The sequence below is a fragment of the Homo sapiens genome, chromosome 1 (assembly GCF_000001405.40).
Source record: "Homo sapiens chromosome 1, GRCh38.p14 Primary Assembly".
In the NCBI taxonomy this organism is placed as follows: domain Eukaryota; kingdom Metazoa; phylum Chordata; class Mammalia; order Primates; family Hominidae; genus Homo; species Homo sapiens.
In genome coordinates this window covers 207,904,377-207,929,166 of record NC_000001.11, presented here as the reverse complement: position 1 = coordinate 207,929,166, position 24,790 = coordinate 207,904,377, and the positions used below count along the sequence as shown (strand labels likewise).

Genomic DNA, 24,790 nt, shown 5'->3' with positions numbered 1-24,790 from the left:
AACATCACTTGAAGCAATCCAATTTTGGAGTACTCTACCTGTGTGATGTATTTTGTAACATAAAAATCAAAGATTAGAATTAAAATATATGATTCAAAATAAAGTACAACTGAAGACATAATTAGTTGAATTAGTAAATAGTAAAATAGATAATACACTTGCTCTTAACCAAAAGGTGAAGAAGTGATAAAACATTAAAACAGAAATGAAGGCCAGGGGCAGTGGCTCATGCCTGTAATCCCAGCACTTTGGAAGGCTGAGGCAGGTGGATCACATGAGGCCAGGAGCTTGAGACCAGCCTGGCCAATGTGACAAAACCCATCTCTACTAAAAATACAAAAATTAGCCGGACATGGTGGTGCAAGCAAACCCAGCTACTCGGGAGGCTGAGGCATGAGAATCGCTTGAACCCGGTAGGCAGGCATTGCAGTGAGCCGAGATTGTGCCACTGTACTCCAGCCTGGGGGACAGAATATGACTCTGACTAAAAAACAAAAAATTGAAATGAAAAAATTGCTAAAATGCAGCTCAGATATTCAAAGAGGTAGAAAATATGAAAGAGAAGTTAAGAGATATAGAGGCTATATTGAGAAGTTCTGATCAGTATTCAATTAGAGCTCCAGAAAGAAAGGATGGAGGATATGGGGCAAAGGGAATATTTGCAGAGATAATTGCTGAGAATTTTCCAGACCTGATCAATAGGAACAACCACACCAAATAGCAATTTGTGAATTTAGCTTTACTGAAGCTGAGCATATTCACTTGTCAACAACTCGGCAATCTTACCTCTAGGTATGTATGTACCATAAATAATTTATTGCATATGTGTACGTGGTAACATGTACAAGAATGTTCGTTGTGTCAATGTTTGTAATTGAAAAATACTGGAAATATCAATAGGTGAGAAGATAAATAAATTATGTTGTATCCATATAATGGAATGCCACACACCAGTAAAAATTAATAAACTGGAGTTGCATGTGTCAGCAAAAGTCAATTTTACAAAAATATTGAGGAATAAAACCAAGTTGCAGAATATACATGATGCCATTTACTTAAAATATGCAAAATTGTAAGACAATATATATATCCCTTAGAGATAAGTGCAAATATATGTTTTGTATAAAGAAATGCTCAGGAACTATAAACAGCAAACTCCAGATGAGGATTCCCTTTGAAGATATTGGGGAGGGGAGGAAGTCATGATCAGAAATGAGAGCTAAAGGACTCTTCACTTCTGGTAATGTCGCATTTCTTAAGGTGAATGGAGAGTTCATAAGTTCCTTACAATGCTCTTTATAGTCTTTTTTATGCCTGAAGTATTTCAAAATACATTTTTTAGGCAGCTAAAAGACCTTTGAGACATAACTGAGAATGTCCAAGCATTGAGGCTATTTTAACTGAAATGTTATTATAATAGTTTCTGGAGACATTTAAAGATACATAAAATTCAGTTTATCCACCTGTTATTCTTGACTCTTAATCTTCCTCTCTCCTGGAATACACTGGATTTCCTCTGGACTAGCAATATAATACATCTTCAATGACATGTATTTTCCTTTTCCTCTCAACTTTCATCTTCTCCTCAGCTTAGAAACATACTCAAGTCTCCGCTAGCCTTAACAAATAAATAAGGAACACCTGTTCCTTATACACTTGTAAATTTTTTGCCTCCCTTCTCATCCAGGTTCTTGGAGGAACAGCCCAGGCTTCCTATGTCTAACCCATCACTTCTACTCACTCTGCAAAACACTATAATCTGACTCCTGTCCACTTGACTGGAAGAGCCCATTTTAAGACATTAACATTGCATTGCAAGTCAAATTCAAAGTAACTTTTCAGCTTCATAGACAACTACTGTATTTGACACTGTTGATCTCTCCTTCCTTCTTGAAGTTCCTTAATCCCTTGGGTTCTGTGACACTCTTTTCTTCTTCTCTGCACACTTGTCTATTGCTCTTCTGTATCGTCATCATCTCTGATTTGTCACCTTTGACATAAATCATGTGACCAAACACAGGTAAGTGTGTTCCTGACTCTGTTCTGTTCCATTCATCAGTTTATCTATCCTCATTCCAAAACCACACTACCTTAGTTACTACCTCTATGATAGATCTTGATTTATAAAAATATAAGACCTCCAGCTTTGTTCTCTTCAAGATTGGCTTGGCTATTATTGGCCCTTTGAATTTACATAAAATTTTAGAAAATTGCTTTTTTAAATTTTTCTAAGAGAGAGAGAGCGCATCTCACTATATTGCCCAGGCTGGTCTTGAGCTCCTGGCCTCAAGCAATTCTACTGCCTTGGCCTCCCAGTGCTGCGATTATAGGTGTGAGCCACTGCTCTCATCCTAGAAAATTGATTTTTTAAAAGTATTTTTCCCTAGATTTGTCCCCAACATTTTTTGGAAATTTAAAAAATTCTAAAGTCTGAGAATATCTAACCTAGTTATTCTTACTCATTTTGAGACTCAATTTAGGGGGTGGCTTCCTCAGAAACCTCTCTGTCTGCCTCACGACAGGTTGCTTAGGTTCCCATCTTACAATTACCACTTATTGCCCTTGTAACTACCTTGTAATTACCACTACACATTTTTCTTGAGAGATCTTTCTGGAAATACTAACAACAATAATTATATTATGTGCTATAATTACTTTTATTCAATATCTTCCACAGCCCCTATGCAGTAGATATTATTAAACTAATAGATTAGAATACTGAGATATAGAAAGATAAACCACTTGAGATCACACACTGAGTAAATTTTAAAGTTAGAATTCAAACCCAGTTCTGTCTGATTCCAAAGCCTGATTTTTTTCCCACTATGTACTCTCCCTCTGCTAATGATGTAATACTTAATCGTGGAATTTAAATTTAATTTGTTAGAGATTTGATGCTTACTTTTTCTTTTTGAGATAGGGTCTTGCTCTGTCACCCAGGCTGAAGCGCAGTGGCCTGATCATAGCTCAACGTAACCTCAAAATCTCATCTAATTTTATTTTTGTAGAGACAGGGTCTCACTATGTTGCCCAGGCTGGTCTTGAACTCCTGGCCTCAAGCAATCCTCCTGCCTTGGCCTCCCAAAGTGCTGAAATTACAGACATGAGCCACTAGGCCCAGCTCTTGATGTTTACTTTCAAAAACCTAATGGACTATTAACTGTATAACAAATAAATAATATTGAATAATATGTATAATATTTAATATATGTAAATAAGATATATTTATCAAGATAAATGTTAATGTTAATTTTTATTTTTTTAATTTATTTATTTTTTGAGATGGGGTTCCACTCTTGTCACCCAGGCGGGAGTGCAGTGGTGCCATCTCAGCTCACTGCAACCCCCACCTCCCAGGTTCAAGCGATTCTCCTGCCTCAGCCTCCTACTAGCTGTGATTACAGGCATGTGCCACGATGCCCAGCTAATTTTATATTATCTTTAATTTTTAAATACGATATTTAAAATTTTTTTCCATACGTATTCTGCTTAAGTACCAGATTTATTTTTTATACTAAATAAAAAAATAATGTTTATGTTTGAATTATTTGTTGCTGAGGAACAAATTACTTGCTCTATGCCAGAACTTACTGGCATAGAACAACAAGCATTTTATTCTCTTCATGAAGTGTGTGGGTCAGAGCACAGCAGGAAGGGCTTGTCCCTGCTCCACCGTGCCTGAGGCCTCAGCTGGGAAAACTGGAATGGCTGGGGGTAACTTGAACAACTGGGAGGTGGAAGCATCTGGCAGCTCCTTCGTTTACATGCCCGGCGCCTGAGCTGGGATTACTGAAAGGCTGGGCTCAGCTGAGGCTGTCAACCAGAGCGCCTAGGCAGGACCTCTCATGTGGCACGCGGCAGCTGGATCCAAGACAGGGAGTGTGTCAGGAGAGCAAGCATTCCAAAGGAGACAGGAGGAAGCTGCAGGGCGCTTTCTGCTCTGGTCTCAGAAGTCACACAGCAGCACTGCTGTGTTACTCAGTTGAAGCAGTCACACACTAGCTCAGATTTAAGGGGTGGGGGACCTAGAGCCTGCCTCTCAATAATAAGGGCATTGACAAATTTGGGGCCATATCTTAAAACCACCAAAGCTTACAAAAATATGTGGATTTTAGTCATGTTTTGGATATCTGCACTTTACCGTTAGTATTTACTGTTCATATTGGGTCTGAGAGTGGTGCCTTCACAGCTTCCACATTTGGCAGGAGAGATGTCACAGTTCAGCAAGAGTTCCCACCACTCCTCACATCAGGAGGATTTGGGGGTCATAAAGTTACTGCTGAACTATATGGTATGAGAAATACATTCTGAATCTTCCATTCCTCTCTTCTTCCCAATGTCATGGACGATGAAAAGAACTGGCCTCATATGGTACCCTAGAGATGTGGCAGGGAGTGCTTCCCTGACTTAAGACATTTTCTTTTAATTTATGATAACATGGGGGAGATATTTGAATGAAGATAAATGACCATTTTTCACATTACATTTGAGTAGTAATAGGGCACATTTATTGAGCACTAAACTTATTTGCTAGATGTGTGCTCAGCACTTAGTTGATCTTTCAACATCCTATGACCTTGCTGCTCAAAGTGTGGTCCTCAGATCAGCAGCAGCAGCATCACCTGGGAGCTTGTTAAAAATGCAGAACCCCAGGCCCTAGGTCAGACCTGCTGAGTCAGAATCTGCATTTCTGCAAGATTCCCAGGTGATTTGTTCATACGTTAAAATGTAGAAGTACTGCTTTATAAAGTGAGTGCTATTACTATCTACCTTTTACAGAGTAGGCAACTCTGAAGGGTTAAGAAACTTACTGATCACATTCTGAGAGAATGGAAAAAAGAAACTGGATAAAGAGTACACAGTTTGTGAGTTAGAACAGCTGAAATTCAAATTCAGGTCTGACTGACTCCAAACCTATATTCCTCACAAATATTCCACCGTGCCTCTCAGTAAATTTCACTGCATTGGCAAATGTGCTCCTATATAGACAGTTATCATCCGTTTAAAGAGTGGTTTAAACAGGTATCACCATCAAAACAGCATTGTTCCATCACTTCATAAATTATTTAGCCCTCTGCCTCCCCTTGCTCAACTGTGAGTTCCTTAAAAGACAGGACTGTTGTCCTATTTGTTGTTAAATCTGCAGAAATTAACCCAGAATCTGACACATAACAGAGTATCTGCCCCTTACAAACTCCTTAATTAATATACATTAAGCCTATTTGTTCAAGTGAGTTGTATAGATTGTGGGCAGTTAACTGGGTGCTAAGATTATTCTGCTGTAAAAGAGGATGCAGGGGTCCTCCCTGGGGTTTCCTGCAGGCCAGGACTTCGGCGGCAGAAAACCACCAAGGCTGCTGCTCCCGACCCATCGGCGCAGCTTATCTCTCTGCCCAGGCGGCCCCCAGCCCAGCCCAGCAATGGGACTTCCTGAGAAAGGTTCTCCTTTCTTTCCTAGCCCTGGAGCACAGCTCTGTGGCTATAATTAACTTCCTTCCACTTGATTTATGCAGAAGGGACAGGACCCGTGAAATGCAGGGAAGCTTGGTTATAATCCCTGTATTCCTGTGGTGCCTCAGTCTCTAAAGCTCTTTTTTAATTGATTGCATCTCATGTGTTCTTATTGAGAAATCTATGGAGAGAGGAACACAGACACTCAGCAATGTATAGTGGTTAGAGCAAGCAGAAGTCCTGGCTTTCCCCGGACAATCCCCACCTGTGCACACCATCCTGGTGTGATTGTTGACAGTCTTTGTTCATGGTCAAACGTGCCCCTGTTTGGGCGATAAATTATATGGTCACCTTAGTCACTGGGGCTTAATGCTGGTCCTGATGTCACCTCAGGAGTCAGAACGGGAGCCAGTCCCTGATGCAGAGATTTGCTTTCTGGACCAGTAAACCATCTGTCATTAGGGCGTTTCTCCTAGTGTAGTTTTCAGGCCACCTGCTTCAGAGCCAGCTGTGAGCTGAGTGTCCACACAAGTGCCCAGGCCCACCTTGGTCCTACTCAGAACCAGGAACTTCTTTTCCCTCTGAGACTCAGTCTGATGCTCCCTCCTCTGACCTCAGCTTACGCTGAAGTCCCCGATGACTTTCTCTTCCCTAGGCATCCATTCTCCAACCCTTAGCACTGGGAACCATTTGATTTCAGTCTGAAGGCCTCCATCTTCCCACCCCTTAGAGGGTGGCCTGAATACCACCCTGCCCTGTACCCCACAGCACTATTATTAGATGGGAACATCAGAGGCTAGAACTGAAATCCCTGGCAGGCCTTTGTCCCCAGAGCGAAGGAGAGAATCGCCGGAAGGGACAGCCTAGCCTGAGGTTAGACAGTCCAGTTCTCTTTCCTCTGGGCTCCGGAGGACTGCAGGCCAGCAGGAAAGAGCTGAGCTATTCTTAGCCGAGGTGTGGGAGCCTGGCAGGAGCTGCAGGCGCTGCCCCAAGGGTCAGAGACAGGAATCGGCCACCCACTCTGGCTGCCTCCCCTCTCTCCCTTGGCTGCCCTTCACACAAATAAATGACCACCCCACTCCCTGCAACCAGCAGCAGTGCATGGCTCAGATATGGGTCACCCGTAGTCCCCTTAGTAGAAGGCACAGCTCTGCCTCTCTCTTATATTACAGTTTGTGGGTATATCTAAAGCTGAGTGGGGCCTCAGTCACCACCTCACTTTCTTCTTAGAACCCTAGCACCCTGCATAGGTCAGGACTGAGCCCCACAGAAGGGAAATGATCTGTATGGGGCCACACGGACATTCAGAGTCACTAAGAACTCTACTAAGAACTCTACCAGGGCCAGGTGGGGTCATAGAATACAAGCTATACGTTTGGGCTAAGGTTTCCAAATGTCAGTCAGCAGACAGGGGCTATTTATGCCAACATCTTTGCAGGTCCTCAGTAAAACGAAGACCACTCGTGTCATATTACCAACTGTGCTTTCATGGAGAGGGTTTTATTTTTTTCTGAATGTATGCTCTTCTTATCTCGAGGTTGCAAAAAAGACCTTGCTTTATGAAATGACTCTAATAGTATATGACAATCCTAGGACAGTCCCTAACACTAAAACTTTTTTTTACTGATGTGTGAAGTAAAAATATATATTTAGGAAGCAATAGAGTGGAGGATACTCAAAATAAAATAAAGATACACTTTATTCATTCATTTAATAAATGTTGAATGTCTATTTTTGGTGTACACTGCACCAGAGCACAAAATATACCTGGTTTCTACCCTCATGTTGCTTACAATCAAATGGGGAAGACAAGCAACAAACAAGTGAATGTCACTTGTAAAATGTGGTAAGGGCAATGATGAGATTCTAGAAGAAAGTACTGTGAGAGGGAATAAAGGGAATGGTGAGATGCTTATTTTCAATTGGGTGGTTAGGGAAGACCAGAAGAGGAGGGGGAGCCACTTTGCAGAAAGTGAGCAGGGGAGAGAAGAAATTCGGCAAAGGAACAGCTTGAGTAAAGGTTTGAGGTTGGAAAAGAGCTTGGGGAGTTTTAGGAGCTGGAGCGAGGGGAAGGATCTACCAAATGAGGTGGGAGAAGCAGGTTGGAGTCCAACCCCTTGAGGTCTTATAAGCCATGGAGAAAAGTTTTCCATTTTATTTTAGAAAAAAAGGAAGCTATTGAAGTGTTTTCAGCAGGGGAATGAGATGGTCCAGTTTTAATTTTAAATACGGGGGATTGGCTCCAGGATTCCCTCCCCCAACTGTGGGTAACAAAATCTGCAAATGCTCAAGTCCCTGATACACAATGGCAGAGTATTTGTATATAACTTATGCATATCCTCCTGGATACTTTAAATCATCTCTAGATTACTTATAATACCTAATGCAATGCAAATGCTATGTAAATAGATATTATATTGTATAGTTTTGGGAATGATAACAAGAAAAAAGTATGCACATGTTTAATACAGATGCGATTTTGGGGGGAATATTTTTAGAATCCACAAATGCAGAACCCAGAGAAACGGAGGGCCAACTGTGCTTTTCTTTACCTGCTGTGTGAAGAATGGACAGGAGCAACTCAAGAATGGTCCTAGGGAGACCAGAGTAGAGGCCACTGATATTCCAGGTGAGAAGTGGTAGGTTCAAGACCTTCCTAGAGAAGATAATTTTCTACTTGTTGAGAAAACACACACATACATGCTAAATGAATCAGGTCATCTGGCAAATGTAGTAAAGTCATATGTTTGGACACAGAGTTTTGGAAAGGAGAGCTGAGAACATTCCAGGACCTTCCCAATCCCTCTCTAGCTCCAATCTTTTACCCTGGGGTCATCAGCTGGTCGCTGGGCTTGTTCCCCATAGGTTAATACATCCTCAGAGGAATTTCCAAGGCCCTGTCCCTAATATCCCCAACCAATCCTCCCAAAGCTCTCCAGTTTGGATATGACCATTTCTGCAGAATGCACACATCTGGGAAGCAGCTGCCTGGCCACTCTCACAAAATCATCTCCCTGTAATTCAGTTAAAGCTGGAGTAGAGAGGAGGCATGGGGGACTAAGGAAAAATGTGAAGTCTGCCCAAGATGGGATCTGGGTAGATGTCAGGGGTACCACCCCTGATCTTTGTAGACAGGCCTCCAGGGTAGCCACTGGGATTTCAACTGGCCTCTGTGTCTTCCTCTGATCCCCGCAAGACCAGATGTGTCCCACAGCTGTACACCATCTGCTACCCTCTACCCCAGAGGAAGCTATAGTTTAGAGCTTGAAGAAGTGGCGGGGAAGACAGTGAGCTCTCCCTTGTCTATAGAGAGTTAATTGTGGGAATAAAGAGTCTAGACTTCCCATGAAGTGGGCAAATGGTTTGGCATTCATCTGCACAGTGGCTCCCCAAAAATGTCCTGGCATGGGAAAAAATTTCAAAGAAAACTCAATGTCCCAGGGTTTTTAAACTCCCTTCCTACTCAATGTTTCACAGACTCTAGCTTACAAACTTCATCTTTCCTATTTGCTCTGCTCTGTGCTCCTCTTCTTTCCTCCCTTCCCCAAACACCGACACCCCGAATTCCCAATCTGGGTCATCAAAAGCCTAACAGCATCTATTCAAGCTGACATCTAATCCTCCCCAGAGGAAGAGAACTGCACTCCCATCCAGCAGATGATGTTATTGGCCCCCTCCCTGAGCTCAGAGGCTTGGTAGAGCCCAGACATATGGATCTTTTTAGAGACTTATGCAATTTGGCAACCCTGTTTCACACCCTCCAAGCCCTGCTGCTCAGACACTGCTCTGCAGAGAGTACACCCAGAGAGGGAGGGAGTGGATCCCTACATGCTCTTTTACTCTTATTCTTTCCTTGTCATTTCTCCTGGCAACTCTCTACTCAATTTGGAAAAAAAAAGTAAAGTGTTCTTCTCCTAGCCAAATCTTTGACTGAAAACAGGAAAGAGAAAAAAAATCAAATAAAAAGAAAAAGAGGAAGAGAAAATGGGAAAAAGAACACAGAACTGCACCATGAATATTCTGATCAGTTCTCCAAGACAAAGACTGAGAACCACCTGAGCCAACAACACACTGTCTTGCTTCTCCTCTTCTCCATCTGCTGTCTATGTGAATAGACATAGATTCCAGTCTATATGGAGCTCCTGGCTTTGTGCAGTGCACAACCTGAGCACTATCTGCTGCAACCCTACCTCCTCCAACACTTAATTCATCCTGAGCCTCTGATGGGTGAATTTGACCTTGCTCTATGTGCTCAGAATGATGTATAGTGCTTCTACTGAGGCAAAAACATCTCTGACGCTTGGTAGGCTCACACTTGCCCCTTTGTCACCTCAGTCAGACACACAGGTGACTGGCGTGTCTTTGAAAAATAAGGAACTTTCTTGCTGCTTATGGAAGAAAGAATGGCTTCTCTGCTCAAGGACCAACAGCCAGAACTGCCAAGGAAATTTTGTAGACTCCCCAGTCAGGAGTCACCAGAGGTCTGGTGCTAGAAGTATAAGACCTTCTAAGGTCCCAAGACCTAATTTCCAAATTGAGACCTTAGCACCGAGACCTTAGAATGTCTTACTCTCCTAGTACTAGACCTCTGATGGCTCCTGGCTGGAGAGTCTGCAAAATCTGAACCTTAAAGGGTGGGGCCATTTTGGATGAAGATGTTAAACTAGGAGGGGTCCATAAAATTCACAGGAATTAGGTTGTCCTTGAGCCATGCCCCCATGCTCTGCCTCTGAGGTGGTCTCTTCCAGGCCATAGGCCCAACTCAAAAGCCTAGAAGTGGGAGAAATGTGACGTAGGGAAGCTTTGCCTTTTTCTTTCGGACCCAGGCCTGGACCAACACCTTATTTTATTTTTGATGGCTTCATGATAGATGGGACCTCTGTATAAAGCTCAAGAGAATAGTTTGGGACAGATGTTTCCTTTCCAGCCACATTTTCCTGCCTCAAGTTAAAAATAGCCATCCTCTTTGCTTTGGCTTCCGTAAGATGTATGCCATTAAAGCTCTCTATTTGGGTTTACAGAGACAAAGGCTGTTAAGTCCCTGGCTTTCACAGCCTGTTGGGCCGTGAACTGATGCAATATTGGGTTCGGGAAGATCCAGCCCCTTGAGACAGATTCCTGGACACTTTAGTGAAAAAAGATTGCTTTCCTATACCTACCATTAGGTAGCACCAGAAAGAGAATTTCCAAGTGGGGAAGGACCTTTCGCAAAGTAGTTCTATTTTTGTTTTCCTGAATAAATCCTTCATTATGGAGTTTTCTTGAATCAATGACAACATCACCCCCAGGGTAACCTGAACCCCCTTTGATATCTGGCTTTAATGGAGGTATAAATGCTGTCGGTAGTATTCATGAGCAATGTTGAGTTAGGCCTACACCATCAGGAAGATTGACTGAAAGCTTAGCTACTACAGAGGGAAATGAGCAGAGACAATACCAGAATTACAGACACAAATCCACAAACAATGGATTTCTGAGCTGTTCTCAGGGAGCTGCTTCCCAGGGTGTAAGGAATCTTTACTTAAGTCTCCCTTATCGCTGACATATTCGCCCTTTGGCCAAGCTGTTTCCCCTGTCACCTGACAGCTCCTGTGGACAGCTCAGGACCTGACAAATCCGAAGAAAATAACTACGGTAATGCATAATTGCCACATCTTCTCCTTTTCACAGAAATATAGCTTTATGTATTTTTGTTTGTAAAAGTAGCACATGTTTATTGTGAAAAACAAATGTATGTGTTGCATACTGGAGTGAGGACGAAACTGAAAATTACCCACACTTCCAACACTGAGACAAATCATTATGTGTGTATATGAGACATGTATTACCACTGACACTGACTTTTTACCTCTGCCACAACAAAATAGCGTCATACTGTGACATGCTTTTCTTCCCCACTTATATGTCAGATCACCAGGTCTTTTTTTTTTTTTTTTTTTTTTGAGACAGAGTCTCACTTTGTCAGCCAGGCTGGAGTGTAGAGGCGCGACCTTGGCTCACTGCAACCTCCGCCTCCTGGGTTCCAGCGATTCTCCTGCCTCAGCCTCCCAAGTAGCTGGGAATACAGGCGCGTACCACCACGCCCAGCTAATTTTTGTAATTTTTAGTAGAGACGAGGTTTTGCCATGTTGGCCAGGCTGGTTTTGAACTCCTGACCTCGGGTAATCCACCCACCTCGGCCTCCCAACGTGCTGGGATTATAGGCATGAACCACCGCTCTTGGCTTCAGGTCACTAGGTCTTAATAGCTGTAGCAATGACAGAAAAGCTGTGGACTCTGTAGTAGTCTAGCTGAAACACCACATCTTTCTCACTCACTCACAAGGTTGTCCCTTAGGAGGCAAAACTGGGATGGCAGCCCTAGAATTATGCTTGGAGGGGAGGGGGACACAAGGCATTGCATTTTACTGCTCTGTTCTGAACATCATTACATTTTTGCTTTTGCTAACATCCCAAGGGGTCTATGAAACACACCAACAGATTATCTTGGGCGCCTTGCACTGGTTGATCAGTCCAAGCTCACTCCCTTCTAAGAAACAGCTCCACCCGCTCAAGCGCAAGAGAAGGGCGTTTTCACAACATAAGAATCACCTCCAACCCATTGGAAGTAACATATAAGTATATTTAACATATGTATATATACATGTAAGTAATTTGAAAACTTTTATAATTTAAGTATCTGTAATAAATTAAGACAAATTATTCACAAAGAAGTAATAGCACAAATTAAAAAGGGAACACACTCTAGATAAAGTACAGATTAACAAGCAAATAGGAATTTTATCAACAACAATTTGAAAGGTTTGATAAATACTCAGTTTCCTAGGAAAATAACAAAATGTACTCAAGAAGAAATTTTTTTAAATCTGAGAATTCAACAATTACAAAAATGCAAGCAGTATTGTTAAATAATCCCACATTAAATACTAGGCCCAAATGATTTTACAGGCAAGTTCCCACAAATCTTAAAAGGAAGTGATCATCCCAGTCTCATAAAAAACTTTTCTTGAGAATAGAAAAAAAGGGAAATACTCTCCAACTCATTTTATATGGACTCTGTAACCCCAATACCAAAACCAGACTATGACAAGAAGAAAAGGAAAAATTACAGGGCTGTTTCATTTATGACTATAGAAGCAAAAATCATAAATAGAAGATTGTATTAGTAAATTAAATTCTACAGTGTATAAAAAAGATAATACACTGACAAAGTTTGGTTTAACTCAAGAAGGCAAAGTTGATTTAATGTTAGAAAATCTACAAATGTAATTCACCATACTACCATATTAAAAGAGAAAAACCATATGTAATTTTAATAGGTATAGATAAGGCATTTGAAAAAAATCATCATTAGTTCATTATTAAAGAAAAAAATCTTTTAGTCAATTAGGAATAGAAGAGAATAACCTTAAAATGATAAAAAGCACATATAGGCCAGTTGCAGCAACTCATTCCTATAATACCAGCACTTTAAGAAGCCAAGGTGGGAGGATCACATGAGGCCAGGAGTTCGAGACCAGCCTGGACAATATAGCAAGCCCCTGTCTCTAAGATAAAATAATAATTTAAAAATGATAACTAAATAAATAAAAAGCACATTTAAAAAATTAAGCAAATGTGGAAACATTAGAAGCTTACACTTCAAAATCTGGAATGAGGTGAGGATGTGCATGATCACCACTCCTTTCTATCCTTAGATGTTCTTGCCAGTATATTAACTTAAGTAAAACAAATCAGTTGCAGAAGGATTGGGAAGGAAACATAAAATTATCACTATTTGCTTGTGATATGATCATTTACATATAAAACCCAAAATAATCTAGAAATACTTCAATCTAATAAGATAAGTTAATAAGGTAGCTCAATAAAAGATTAATATAAAACAATAAATTGCAATTTCATACACCAGCAACAAAAATAATTAAAAAGAAGATAATATTTGCCATAGTCTTAGAGGACATAAATTACCTAGGAATAAATCTAACAATGAATTAAATGAATTTATCACTTAACAATAATGAATGAATTAAAACCATTACAGGGAAAATTATAAACTTTAATGAAGACTCAAACAATGGAGATATATACCAAGTTCTCTGAAGGAAAGATTCCGTTCTCCCCAGGTTGATCTATGGAGGAATTTTGATCAAAATCCAAAAGGCTGTTTTGGAAGGAAATCTGATAAGCATTTATAAAATTGTATATTATTATTATTATTTGGAAGAACAAAGAGCCAAGAATAGTCAGGGCATTTCTGAAGACAATTTGGGAGAGGAAAACTTGCCCTACAGATGTCTGAACTTATTTAATGCTACAGTAAATAAGGCAATGGCGAAGGCACTTGGGGTGTCCATACTGACCAATGCTAGAGAGCCTAGAGCCAGACCCACATACGTATGAAATGTGGAACACGACAGAAATGGCATGTCAGGTCAGAAGGGAAAGAAGAGACTACTCAGTAAATGCAACTAGGAAAATGGTTAGCTGTATGAAAAATACATAAAACTGGTTTTCTGCTAGTTATTTATTTTGTCTCCCTCAGCCCCAACCTACTCCTCTGTACTTTTCTCTATAATACTGGCTACAATGTGTGTTTGCTCTGTTACATGAGAATATTCAGTTTCATACAGAGGACAAGAAAAGCAGGTGGGTGAAACTCATCAGATGTATTAACTATAGATACAAAGTAAGCAAGTCATTTGTGAGACATAGGCAGAATTCAGAAGATGTGCTAAAAATGCAGGATGGAGTATCCCTTATCCGGGATACTTTTTGGATTTTGGAATACTTGCATTACACTTATATGTTGAGCACCCCATTCCAGAAATCTGAAATCCAAAATGCCTCAATGAGCATTTCCTTTGAGTGCCATGTCAGTACTCGAAAAGTTTCAGAATTTGGAGCATTTCAAATTTCAGACTTGGGATTCTCAATCTATAGTAAGTTAGTAACCTGCAAGACATGTAAAACAGAATAAATGGAATAGACTACAAAAGGATGGAACAAACAAGAGTGCTACTTACAGGCAGAAAAGGATAGGAAAAAACAAATCATAAGCCATGAGGTATAGATTATGCCACCTTCTGGCTGGTGTCCATGTCATCCCTAAATTGACTACCTACTGGTGGCACCTTCTGGCCCCCCATAAGCTCTACCCAAGAAATACTGGCAAAAAGTATGGCTTCCCAGAACACTGACAAAGACCTGTGGCCAAGCCTACCTACCCTTAAACATCTCTCAATAGAATGAGTATACCTTGGTTCTAAGCATCTTCCTCATATTGATCCCCTTACTCAATCTCAGTTCTGGTCCTCATAACTATACCACTGCAGAGCGAAACACATGACTGAGGCTGTGAGACTGTGCAGGACTTTTGCCCTGCTTGCATTCCCAAGTGTATCAACCTTGTGTAAATCTGTCCCCTTGGTTCTGGCTCTATGCTTTAAATAGATTCCATAACCCTTGTGATTTGATCATCATAATTTGGTCTGAGTCTTCCTGATCTGTGGCCTCTGGAATAGCCTGCCTATCATGGAGGCAAACATTGCATCATGGTGACTTACCACAGGACACTGGTTCCCAGACTCCCTTGTCAGCTGATTTCTTGTTAGGTTCTGCCAAGAGGAGGCACTGGAGGGAGACTAGAAGGTGGAAAGAGGAAAAAAGGGACTTGCAGGTTGTCACTGCATCAGTCCAGCATCTGAACACTTCTACCGCTAAGGATCCCTGCCAAACTGAAAAAAAAAAAAAAAAAAAAGTTTGCAATGTGGGAAAAAAGTCTTGGTTCCAAAATATAAAATTGGAAAATCAAAATTCACAAATTTTTCATTAAATGCCTACAAAAATGTCAACTCAACTTGTAAACTGCAATTCAACTCTTTCATAGTTTCATGTAAATATAATAAAGTTTGAATTATAAGAACAAAATGAATATATTTTAAAATTCAGAATTATAACAACCATTTTCCTTACTTTTTTAACATCAGACATATTTGACATAGGATGAGGTCCTCTTTTAGGTTGATTGACATGATGCGTGTGTATTTTGGGGAGGGGTGAGGTAAGGGATGTTTAATAGTAAAAGTGGTTGTGACCTCCAAGGGTCTGTAAAGGGCCTGAGACAGCCTCTGACTCAGTGTATTTCTGTTGTATCCTCCATTTTGTGCGGTGTAGCTAACATCTTCTAGCAACAGCTTATGAAGCAGGAGAGCAGAGAATTGAGGAGCAGCCCAGAAAGGCTAGAACTTTGAAGAGACTACATAGCTCAACTCTACCTGGCCTGTGAGGAAATGTAAGGCTGGGGTCCCTGGGTACCCTTGTGTCCAGTGGCCAGAACGTGTGTTTGGGGGTGGCTTGGGCAAGGGTGTGTGTGCTTGGGGTGATGAGTCTCAGTGACCCTGGAAAATATGAAGAGTGGCCAATCACTGTCTAGCTTTGTAGTTCTGGGGCTATCCATAACCTTTGCAAGCCAGAGAAGAAACAGCTCTGGTCTCTCAGAGGAAGGGATTTGCCAGCCTCCCATATCCCCTACTTCTATTTTTCCTCCCTGAAGCCTGACATCCACTTCGCCCTTGCTCCTTGTACCCAGCAAGTGTTCTTTCTATACCAGGGCTTCTTGAACCTCAGTGTGCATGAGTCATGGAGAATACTTACTCAAAGTACAGATTCTGGCCCTCACCCTTGATTCTGTGTAGACCATGCTTTGAGAAAACTCTGCTCCACAGAATCATTCTCTCTCTCTTTGCTCCCAAAGCTAGTTAAGAAGTTCAGGTACTAAAGAAAGACAAGTTATTTCCCCTGTTTCCCGTGGTCCAGCTATGGGAGACAAATGGTATTTAAAGTAACCAGAAAAAAAAAATCTGGAAATGGAAGTTAAAGTGGACCAAATTAGCTTTCATATCTAGCAGGGATTACAACCCCACATTTGTTCTCAACTGCACACTGGATGCCTGAAGCAGACCGAGCGGTCCCTGGAGCTGAGGAAGTTGAGGGGAGTGGGGGGCCTGGCAGTGTTGGAACTAACTCCTTTTCCCTGTTAATTGGGAGTCCCAAGGACCAATGACTGATTTTAAAATGCATGTTTGCCACTCCTTCTGTCCCCAGGCCCTTGCCATCACTATGTGATCAGTTCTGAATCATCATTTGTACTTTGAAACAGATTCATACCATTCCGTTGTATTCAATCAAATTAGCATATCAGGCCTTTGCTCTTATTGTGTGATGAAAGACTTTGTTCCCTGTTTAAAGGAATGCTAGGCAACAAGACCAGAATAAGGAGATTTTGGGTTTGTTTTTAGACCTGGATCCTTCTCCTGTGCAACCCCAACGCATAGTAGGTTTGAGATGGACTATAAAGGTAAAGCTACTTTTATAATGCTAGAGTGTCTGCGGAGAAATCAGAAAGGACCACAGAGTGCTGGTCTGGCTTCTCTTTTTTCCCTTTAGGCTATGTGGTACAGACATCATGGAAGAGCCTGAACTGAGTATTTATAATTTCATGATTCTGCTCTGGATATCAGAGCAGCCTCTCCCAGGTTATACCTTATCTGATCCTCCCCTGGTGCCATCATCTGCCCAGGCTGGCTTCTCCTTTCTCCCGTCTCTACGTCCCCAAGACTAGGCTGCCTACCCGGCTCAGAGTTTCTTCTATTCAGTACAACCAACACCCAGAGGAACTGGTGAGGAACAGGAAGCTCAAGGATCTATCAAGTGGTGGAGGATGGAGTCACAGAAAGTCCTTTTTCTGATGGGAGAGCAAGGTGAAATCCCTAGTGGCTTAGACCCAGGGCTGGAGAGGGGATAACTGGTGAGAAGGCATCCAGGGAAGTCCTTTTTCTTTAGGATGATGGTGATGGGGAACTAAATGGGGAAATATGGAAGGTCACAGGAAAAGTTAACACAAGTTAGCAAAAAGTTAACATAACACAAAAAGGTCTTGCAGGAAAAAAAAAAGAAAAGAAAAGAAAGAAAAAGTCTCCAAGAATGGTTTGGACAGCCAAAATGAATACTTATAGTCACGTATACCTGCTCACTCCTGACGCTTCACTCACACACAGCACAGGATCTGGTGAGGCTATCACTAAATGTGCCACATTGTGGTTAAGTTTTACCTGATTAACGAAATGCTCACACTTCTAAACTGAGGTCCTTACAGTAGATTCCTTTTGCAAGATTGTTACTGGCTTACAACTTAAAAATAAAGGAAAATCACAAGGAAAGAAAAGTGGGGAAAAAATCGGAGGAAACTTGCCCCTGCCCTGGCCACCGGCAAGGCTGCCACAAAGGGGTTAAAAGTTAAGTGGAAGTGGAGCTTGAAGAAGTGGGATGGGGCCTCTCCAGAAAGCTGAACGAGGCATCTGGAGCCCGAACAAACCTCCACCTTTTTTGGCCTCGACGGCGGCAACCCAGCCTCCCTCCTAACGCCCTCCGCCTTTGGGACCAACCAGGGGAGCTCAAGTTAGTAGCAGCCAAGGAGAGGCGCTGCCTTGCCAAGACTAAAAAGGGAGGGGAGAAGAGAGGAAAAAAGCAAGAATCCCCCACCCCTCTCCCGGGCGGAGGGGGCGGGAAGAGCGCGTCCTGGCCAAGCCGAGTAGTGTCTTCCACTCGGTGCGTCTCTCTAGGAGCCGCGCGGGAAGGATGCTGGTCCGCAGGGGCGCGCGCGCAGGGCCCAGGATGCCGCGGGGCTGGACCGCGCTTTGCTTGCTGAGTTTGCTGCGTGAGTACCGCCCGCGCGCCGCGGCCGCTTGGCTTCGCCGCGGGGAGGGTGGAGGCTTTCTGGGAGGCTGAACAGCAGAGCAGAGTCTCACGGAGGGAAGGGACCCCTGCCCAACCCACGCACTGCCGCCCACAGCTGCTTCCCCCCGGGGCCAGCGCCTCACCTGGGAGCTGACGGGGGTGGGAGGGGAAGGGAAGGCCATCACCCCCGCGAGTGTGCGTTAGCCGAGGTGTGAATCGGTCAGCACGACTGGTTCCAATGGACTGAGATAAAGCGCTTTGGAGATGCCAGGGTCTCTTCTGGTTGCCAGAGGCGCGGAGTGCGAAGTTGCAGCCAGAACCGGGAGACTGGGGAGGAGAGAAGCAGGAAAAGTTTTGTGGCTCTTGGTTGATTCAGAAAGTATAGACACGGAGCGGATTGCTGGGAAGGGGCCGGTGTGCCCACCTTGCACAGGGACTGGGAGAGCCAGAAGTGGACATTAAGGAATTCGAGGGAAGCGAATCAGGGATGAGGCTCCAGGTCCCAGGCCAGGGGTGTTCGGAATGAACAGTCCGTGAAAAGGAAAAACAAAACCAAACAACCAACCAAACAAAAACCTTGCATTTAAGATTGGGAAGCTGAGTTTGAATTCCCACTTCAGCAACCCCACCGCGGAGGAGGTAGAAGTAGACAGAATTTGCTCTGCGCCCAGCCTCGCTCGCCTTACCAAAAACCGTCACCCCTGCACAAATTTCAAAACTTGTCACCTTTTGGAGTTTTCTTCCTCTGCCCCTGCTCCAAGTTCTAAAGCTAGTGGATGGGTTAGAACACTGCCCCCACTCACCTACACATATCCTTACTCTTAAGGTCTTGCTCTCACTTCGGTTAAAAAAAAAATAGGCACCCGGTAAATATTTATACTCGATTACTTTCCTTGGGGAATGACATTCTCCACCTCATCTCTTTGCACTTGGAAGGTTTGAAACTTTTGAAACTTTGTACATTGCTCTCCCTTTTGCTTACAGCACTCTAGGGCTCCCAATTCTGTACTCTCACTACATCCTAAGGGCCACCCACTGTGGCCCTGCAGAGTGACCTGGACTAGACCTCTTTGTTCCCAGTCTCCTCTGTTGTCCATCTTTGGGTCCGCCCAGCTGGGGACAGCTGCCCCTGGGCTGGAGGAAGCTCTGAGAGAAGTTTTGGGTTGCCCTGTTTGGCAGTCCTGGATGTGTGCTTTGGGGCAAGGAAAAGCTATCAATGAGGTTTCAAAATTCTAGAGTGGGTGCTAGACTAGGCCCTCATAACAGGAGTGAGTCGGCCGGGCGCAGTGGCTCACGCTTGCAATCCCAGCACTTTGGGAGGCCGAGGCAGGCAGATCATGAGGTCAAGAGATCGAGACCATCCTGGCCAACATGGTGAAACCCCATCTCTACTAAAATTACAAAAATTAGCTGGGCATGGTGGCACACCCCTATAGTCCCAGCTACTCGGGAGGCTGAGGCAGGAGAATCCCTTGAACCCAGGAGGCGGAGGTTGCAGCGAGCCAAGATCCTGGCACTGCACTCCAGCCTGGGAGACAGAGCGAGACTCCTTCTCAAAACAAACAAACAAACAAAAAACAAAAAACAAAAAAACAGGGGTGAGTTGGCCAGTGGTGCAGATTCCAATCAGATGCTCCATTCTCCTTTGGCTACACAGCTTGTGATGACCTGGTCCTCAGCCGAATGAGGTCCACCCTTTTCTTATTTCCTCAGCTGGTAAGTGCCAGTCTCGCCTTGGCCTGCCGAGGTTGGGGTTGGGGGAGCAACACAACCTTGGCAAAACTTTGGACTGATATGCTGAGAATATCCCAGCTTTTGGTGGGGAGGGATGAGGCACAAGGCCCCATTCCCAGCCTTGCCAGACTACTTGAGCCAATTGTAGTTTTATGCCCTTCCCAAGAGCTTTCTAGGGTTTTTGCTTGGATTTGTTTTGTTTTGTTAATACTAGGAGTCATTTTCAGTCCTGGGATACATTGTGGGATAAATGAGATAACTGAGTGTACCTTGAAATGCTACCATAGGGCCATTGCAGAAATGCTATTATTATTGTAAAATTTAGGGTAGAGGGGATTTCTGTGGTTTGTTTTCTCATCATTTACCCCAACAAAGAGCTTGTTTTGGGAAGTTCTTTTTTTCTGTCCCTTTGAGAAGGTGGCATGTGCATAGGCACTGCAACTAACCAGAAGTGGGCTGTCTTTGTTGGAAGTGGGGGAGATCACAGAGCAGAGTCAGGGTAAGGGGCTCAAGGGCCACCAGGCAGCACTGCCAGAGTGCTGGCTGGAGCAGGAAGCCTTTCAGGTAATTAGGGAACCCCTTTGTCAGGCTCAGGGTATCTATTTCCTCCAAGCTTTCCAAGGCCTGTCCCTATCCTCACTCTAACAACACCCCCAGGCCCTCCCCGTCACATTCCTCTTCTTCCTTTGGGTCCTTCGTGCCTGCTGACCCCACACCCATATCCTGTCCAGGGCTACATGTAAGAGGGGAAAAATAAAAGGGAAAAGAATTTTATCAGCTATTTTCCAGAGGGGAGAGGACTCCACCCTTTGAATCTCTGCCATATGGCGACAGAGGAGGAGCAGGCTTGGGGACCTCTGACTAATTCAGTGGTCCCCAGTGCTCCGCACTTGTAGACCCAACCCAGTTGGCACCACCTTTGCAGATGCATGTCTTCAGCAGCATTTCTGTTCGGCTGATAAAACACACAGGGGCCTGGGGCCTCTTTTTCTTATCCCTTTGGCTCCACCTCCTGGGCCTCCTCATTCCCTTGTCCTCATCTCCTTCCTTCGCAATCTTTGTCTCAAAAAGCTTAGGGCAAGAAGTGCCAAACTGCAGCAGATAAACTCAGCTGCAGAGTCCTACGAAAACAAATGAAAATGAGGAACAAATTCCACTTCTTACCGTTGGTCTCATTGCCTGATTTCCTTTAGACCCTGAGCTGGAGGGCCTGGGTTTACTTTCAGGGCTGGATGGTTACCCAACTCCACTCTCAGGTACTTGGGCCTCCCTCTCTCATTGACTTTGGTTGATCTAACTAAATGGCTTGCAGTGTGGAGAATTAAAAATAAGAAGGTATGGAAAAAGAACACAACACCACCCTCCAGAAGAAAATTCTCACAGTCGCCAGGGCTGTGAGAATTCCATATTTTTGTGGGCTTGGACTTCTCTAATGAGAACATTCTCTTCCCTCCTTAGCTAATAAATGAAAACATATTATCTATGACTTTTAGTCCCAGAGCTGGACGTTGTGCTAAGGAGAAAGATGCGTGCATGTTGGAAAGATGGAGAGACAAACAAATAGGGATGCATATAAAGGTGTACTTCTTAGTACCTGTGCTCTTGGAGTCCGTCGGAATGAGTTACTTCCCTTCAGATGCAACGGAAAAGGCCTTTGGGCTTAATTGGGAAGTAGGCTTCTTCTTTATTTGGAAAAATGAAATCAAACTGATACTTCTTAGAGAGGAGTGGCATCCCTAGGCAGCTGATTTAAGAAAATGTCTTAAGAGGTCTTTGAGTGACAAAGCCTAGAACCCCAGACAATCCTGGATGAGCAAAGGTAGGCAGGAGGCTGAATTGCTGAGCATGATAAAATGAAGTGAAGCCTTGTGTTTAGGTGGGCACAAGAGACACAAGGCTGATAGGACTCCAGAGCCCAGGAAGAGCATATAAAGGGTGGAGAGGTGCCTGGAGTCATAGCAGGACAGTGGTGGGTGGAGGATGGAAAAGACCTGGGAGGAAATTTTTTTTTAATACATGGCTTCATTAGCACAGTAATGTCTAATATTTCAGGGTTATGCCATTGTCTCCCCTGGGCTGCCCTGTAATCTCGTTCCATGCCCTCAACCTTTCAGTAAATACTGGCTACACACACTAGCCTTGTGTTAGTGGCTCTCTGGGGAGGGTAAAGTAACTTACTTTACCTTGGCTAACTTACGGTGAAGTGGTATACTAGTGCGGACAGGGAGCCATTGAGCCATGGAGCCACAACCCAGGAGTCTGTGGTGCTGGTAAAATGGAGGAAGAGGTGACAGGGAGAAATGTAGGTGCCCAGAGAATCTTCAAAATAATTAGGGTTCCACAGTAAGTGGATGGGGTCCAAGACATGCTATTTTATTTATTTATTTATTTATTTATTTATTTGAGAAGAAGTTTCTCTCTTGTTGCTCAGGCTGGAGTACAATGGTGTGATCTCGGATCACCGCAACCTCTGCCTCCCAGGTTCAAGCAGTTCTCCTTCCTCAGCCTCCTAAGTAGCTGGGATTACAGGCATGCGCCACCATGCCCAGCTAATTTTGTATTTTTAGTAGAGACGGGTTTTCTCTATATTGGTCAGGCTGGTCTCGAACTCCTGACTTCAGATGATCCACCCACATCGGCCTCCCAAAATGTTGGGATTACAGGCGTGAGCCATGGTGTCTGGCCAAGACATGCTATTTGAATATAAAACAGAAATCTCGGTACACTGGGAACCCTCAGGCCACAGACCCTTGGTTTATATATACTCACACCTTAGCTTAGCCTTTGAAGCTTAAGAAGGCATCTGCTCAGTCCCTTGTTCTAGTCTAGGATGACTGAAATTCATGGTAGGCCTCAGAGTTGGACAGCCCCCTAACACGGATGCCTCCTGAGTGTTTGCAGGAAGCATGGATGGATCACTTGTCTCCCAAAGTGGCTCATTTCATTCTTATAAATAGCTACATCATTTTACACTTTTTCCTTGGATTGCAGTGAAATTGGCCTTCCCATAACTTCTAATCATTAGTTCTAATTCTATTCTTTGGGCTGGTACAGATTTAATCTGGTCCTTCATGACAATACCTGAAGATGTTTCTAGTGGGCCCCACTAGATTACAAACTCCTTGAGGGATTGATTTAAATGACAATGACACTAACACCTAATGGAGGAAAGAGATCCAGCTCTCATTTTGTACTCTCCACAGCACTGAGCGAGATCCTTTGCACATCACTGGCACTGCAGAAAAATGAGAATGAATACACAGAATGAATGTATCCCTTATCCAAAATGCTTAGGACCAGAAGTGTTTCAAATTTCAGATTTTTTCAGATTTTGGAATATCTGTGTAAACATAATGAGATGTCTCAGCAATAGGACCCAAGTCTAAGCATGAATTTGTGTTTCCTGTATACCTTATATACATAGCCTGAAGATAATTTTAGACAATATTTTTAATAAACTTGTGGATGAAACAAAGTGTTGACTGTGTTTTGACTGTGACCTGTCACATGAGGTCAGGTGTGGAATCTTCCACTTGCGGCATCATGTTGGCACTCAAAAAGTTTCGTATTTTGGAGTATTTTAGAATTTCTGATTTTCAGATTAGGGGTGCTCAACCAGTGTAAATAACATGCATCTTAAAGAAAGTTATTTATTTTTCCTCCCCAAATTCTTCTTTTCCATATCAGGGGTCAGCAAACTTTTTCTATAAAGGGCCAGAGAGTAAATATTGTAGGCTTTAGGGGCCATATATGGTTTCTGATGGATGGTCTACTTTGTCTTATCTTACGACACTTTTAGAAATGTAAAAGCCGGCCACGCACGGTGGCTCATGCCTGCAATCCCAGCACTTCGGGAGGCCGAGGCAGGCAGATCACCTGAGGTCAGGAGTTTGAGACCAGCTTGGCCAATATGGCTAAACCCCGTCTCTACTAAAAATACAAAAATTAGCCGGGCATGGTGGCACATGCCTGTAGTCTCAGCTACTTGGGAGGCTGAGGCAGGAGAATGTCTTGAACCTGGGAGGCAGTGGTTGCAGCCAGCCAAGATCGTGCCACTGCACTCCAGCCTGGGCAACAGAGTGAGACTGTCTCAAGAAAAAAAGAAAGAAAGGAATGTAAAAGCCATTCTTTACTGACTGACCATACAAACACAACCCCTGAGTCAGGTTAGGTTCACTGGCCATAGTTTGCCAACCCCCCATCTAGATGAAATAACACTAGACCCTCAACAATATGACTTGGTTTCTAGAACTCTCCTAATCCTGGTTATCTTCACATGAACACTCCCCAATTTAATTAATTCCCCCTTAAAATATAACATGAGAACAAGACTGCCATGACTAGAGGTAGCTGGCAGGAACACACCTGCCACAGTTGTCCTCCAATCCTATTGCTTTTCCTAAACTCCAAGGATTGTGCTAAGCACCAGGAGTAAAACACATAAGAATAAGAATGGCTCCAGCACTTTAGAAGTTTATATTCTTACTGAGGTGACAGTTAGACCTATCCTGAGGAAGCAGCATATATGATTTTGTGGCAGATGAGTCACAGAAATAAGTATCTCATGCCCACTGAGAAGCAGAAGGAAGGGGCCTAAAACAAAAGATATCCACTATTTCTTGAACTTTTACCAGACAGGATAACTGCTTCTACTTCTTAGCTCCTTTGTTCCTCAAAACAGCTAAGACATAGGGACTACTTTTATCTCTGTTTTACAGGTGAGGTTTACAGAGTTGAAGTAACTTCCCAAACCACAGCTAAAACATGGTAAAGAAGCCTTTGAATGTGGCCTGTCTGGCTGCAGAGCCTGAGCTCTTTGTCTCTGGGCTATACCGCCTTCCTGGTGATACAGTCTGTGGCTCCCAACGGCC

General features: G+C 43.3%; 1 protein-coding gene and 1 long non-coding RNA gene across 5 annotated transcripts in view, besides 1 other annotated feature; one reads left to right on the top strand and one right to left on the bottom strand.

Moving 5' to 3' along the window:
* Positions 10,531-11,162: an enhancer, noted in NCBI's record as "NANOG hESC enhancer chr1:208091350-208091981 (GRCh37/hg19 assembly coordinates)". NCBI's record gives its function as "activates a minimal SCP1, AML or CMV promoter by ChIP-STARR-seq in naive H9 embryonic stem cells {active_cell/tissue: H9 hESC(naive)}" and the evidence as "EXISTENCE:reporter gene assay evidence [ECO:0000049][PMID:30033119]".
* On the bottom strand, positions 12,052-18,799 carry LOC107985253 (uncharacterized). Of its 3 annotated transcripts, none has more exons than XR_001738424.2 (4): positions 18,610-18,799; positions 18,329-18,512; positions 15,014-15,184; positions 12,052-13,579 (listed from the first exon to the last, which is right to left on the bottom strand). It is a non-coding gene; the product is annotated as an uncharacterized LOC107985253 (long non-coding RNA). The 3 variants fall into 3 exon arrangements; XR_001738425.2 differs by having other exon boundaries at positions 12,997-13,628; XR_001738423.2 differs by having other exon boundaries at positions 12,997-15,184.
* Positions 18,042-24,790, top strand: part of CD34 (CD34 molecule) — a 30,154-nt gene continuing 23,405 nt past the window's right edge. For both annotated transcript variants that reach the window (NM_001025109.2, NM_001773.3), the window contains exon 1: positions 18,042-18,165. In NM_001025109.2, the coding sequence (NP_001020280.1) occupies positions 18,087-18,165 (79 nt within the window). In that variant the 5' untranslated portion in view covers positions 18,042-18,086. The remainder of the gene's footprint in view (positions 18,166-24,790) is intronic.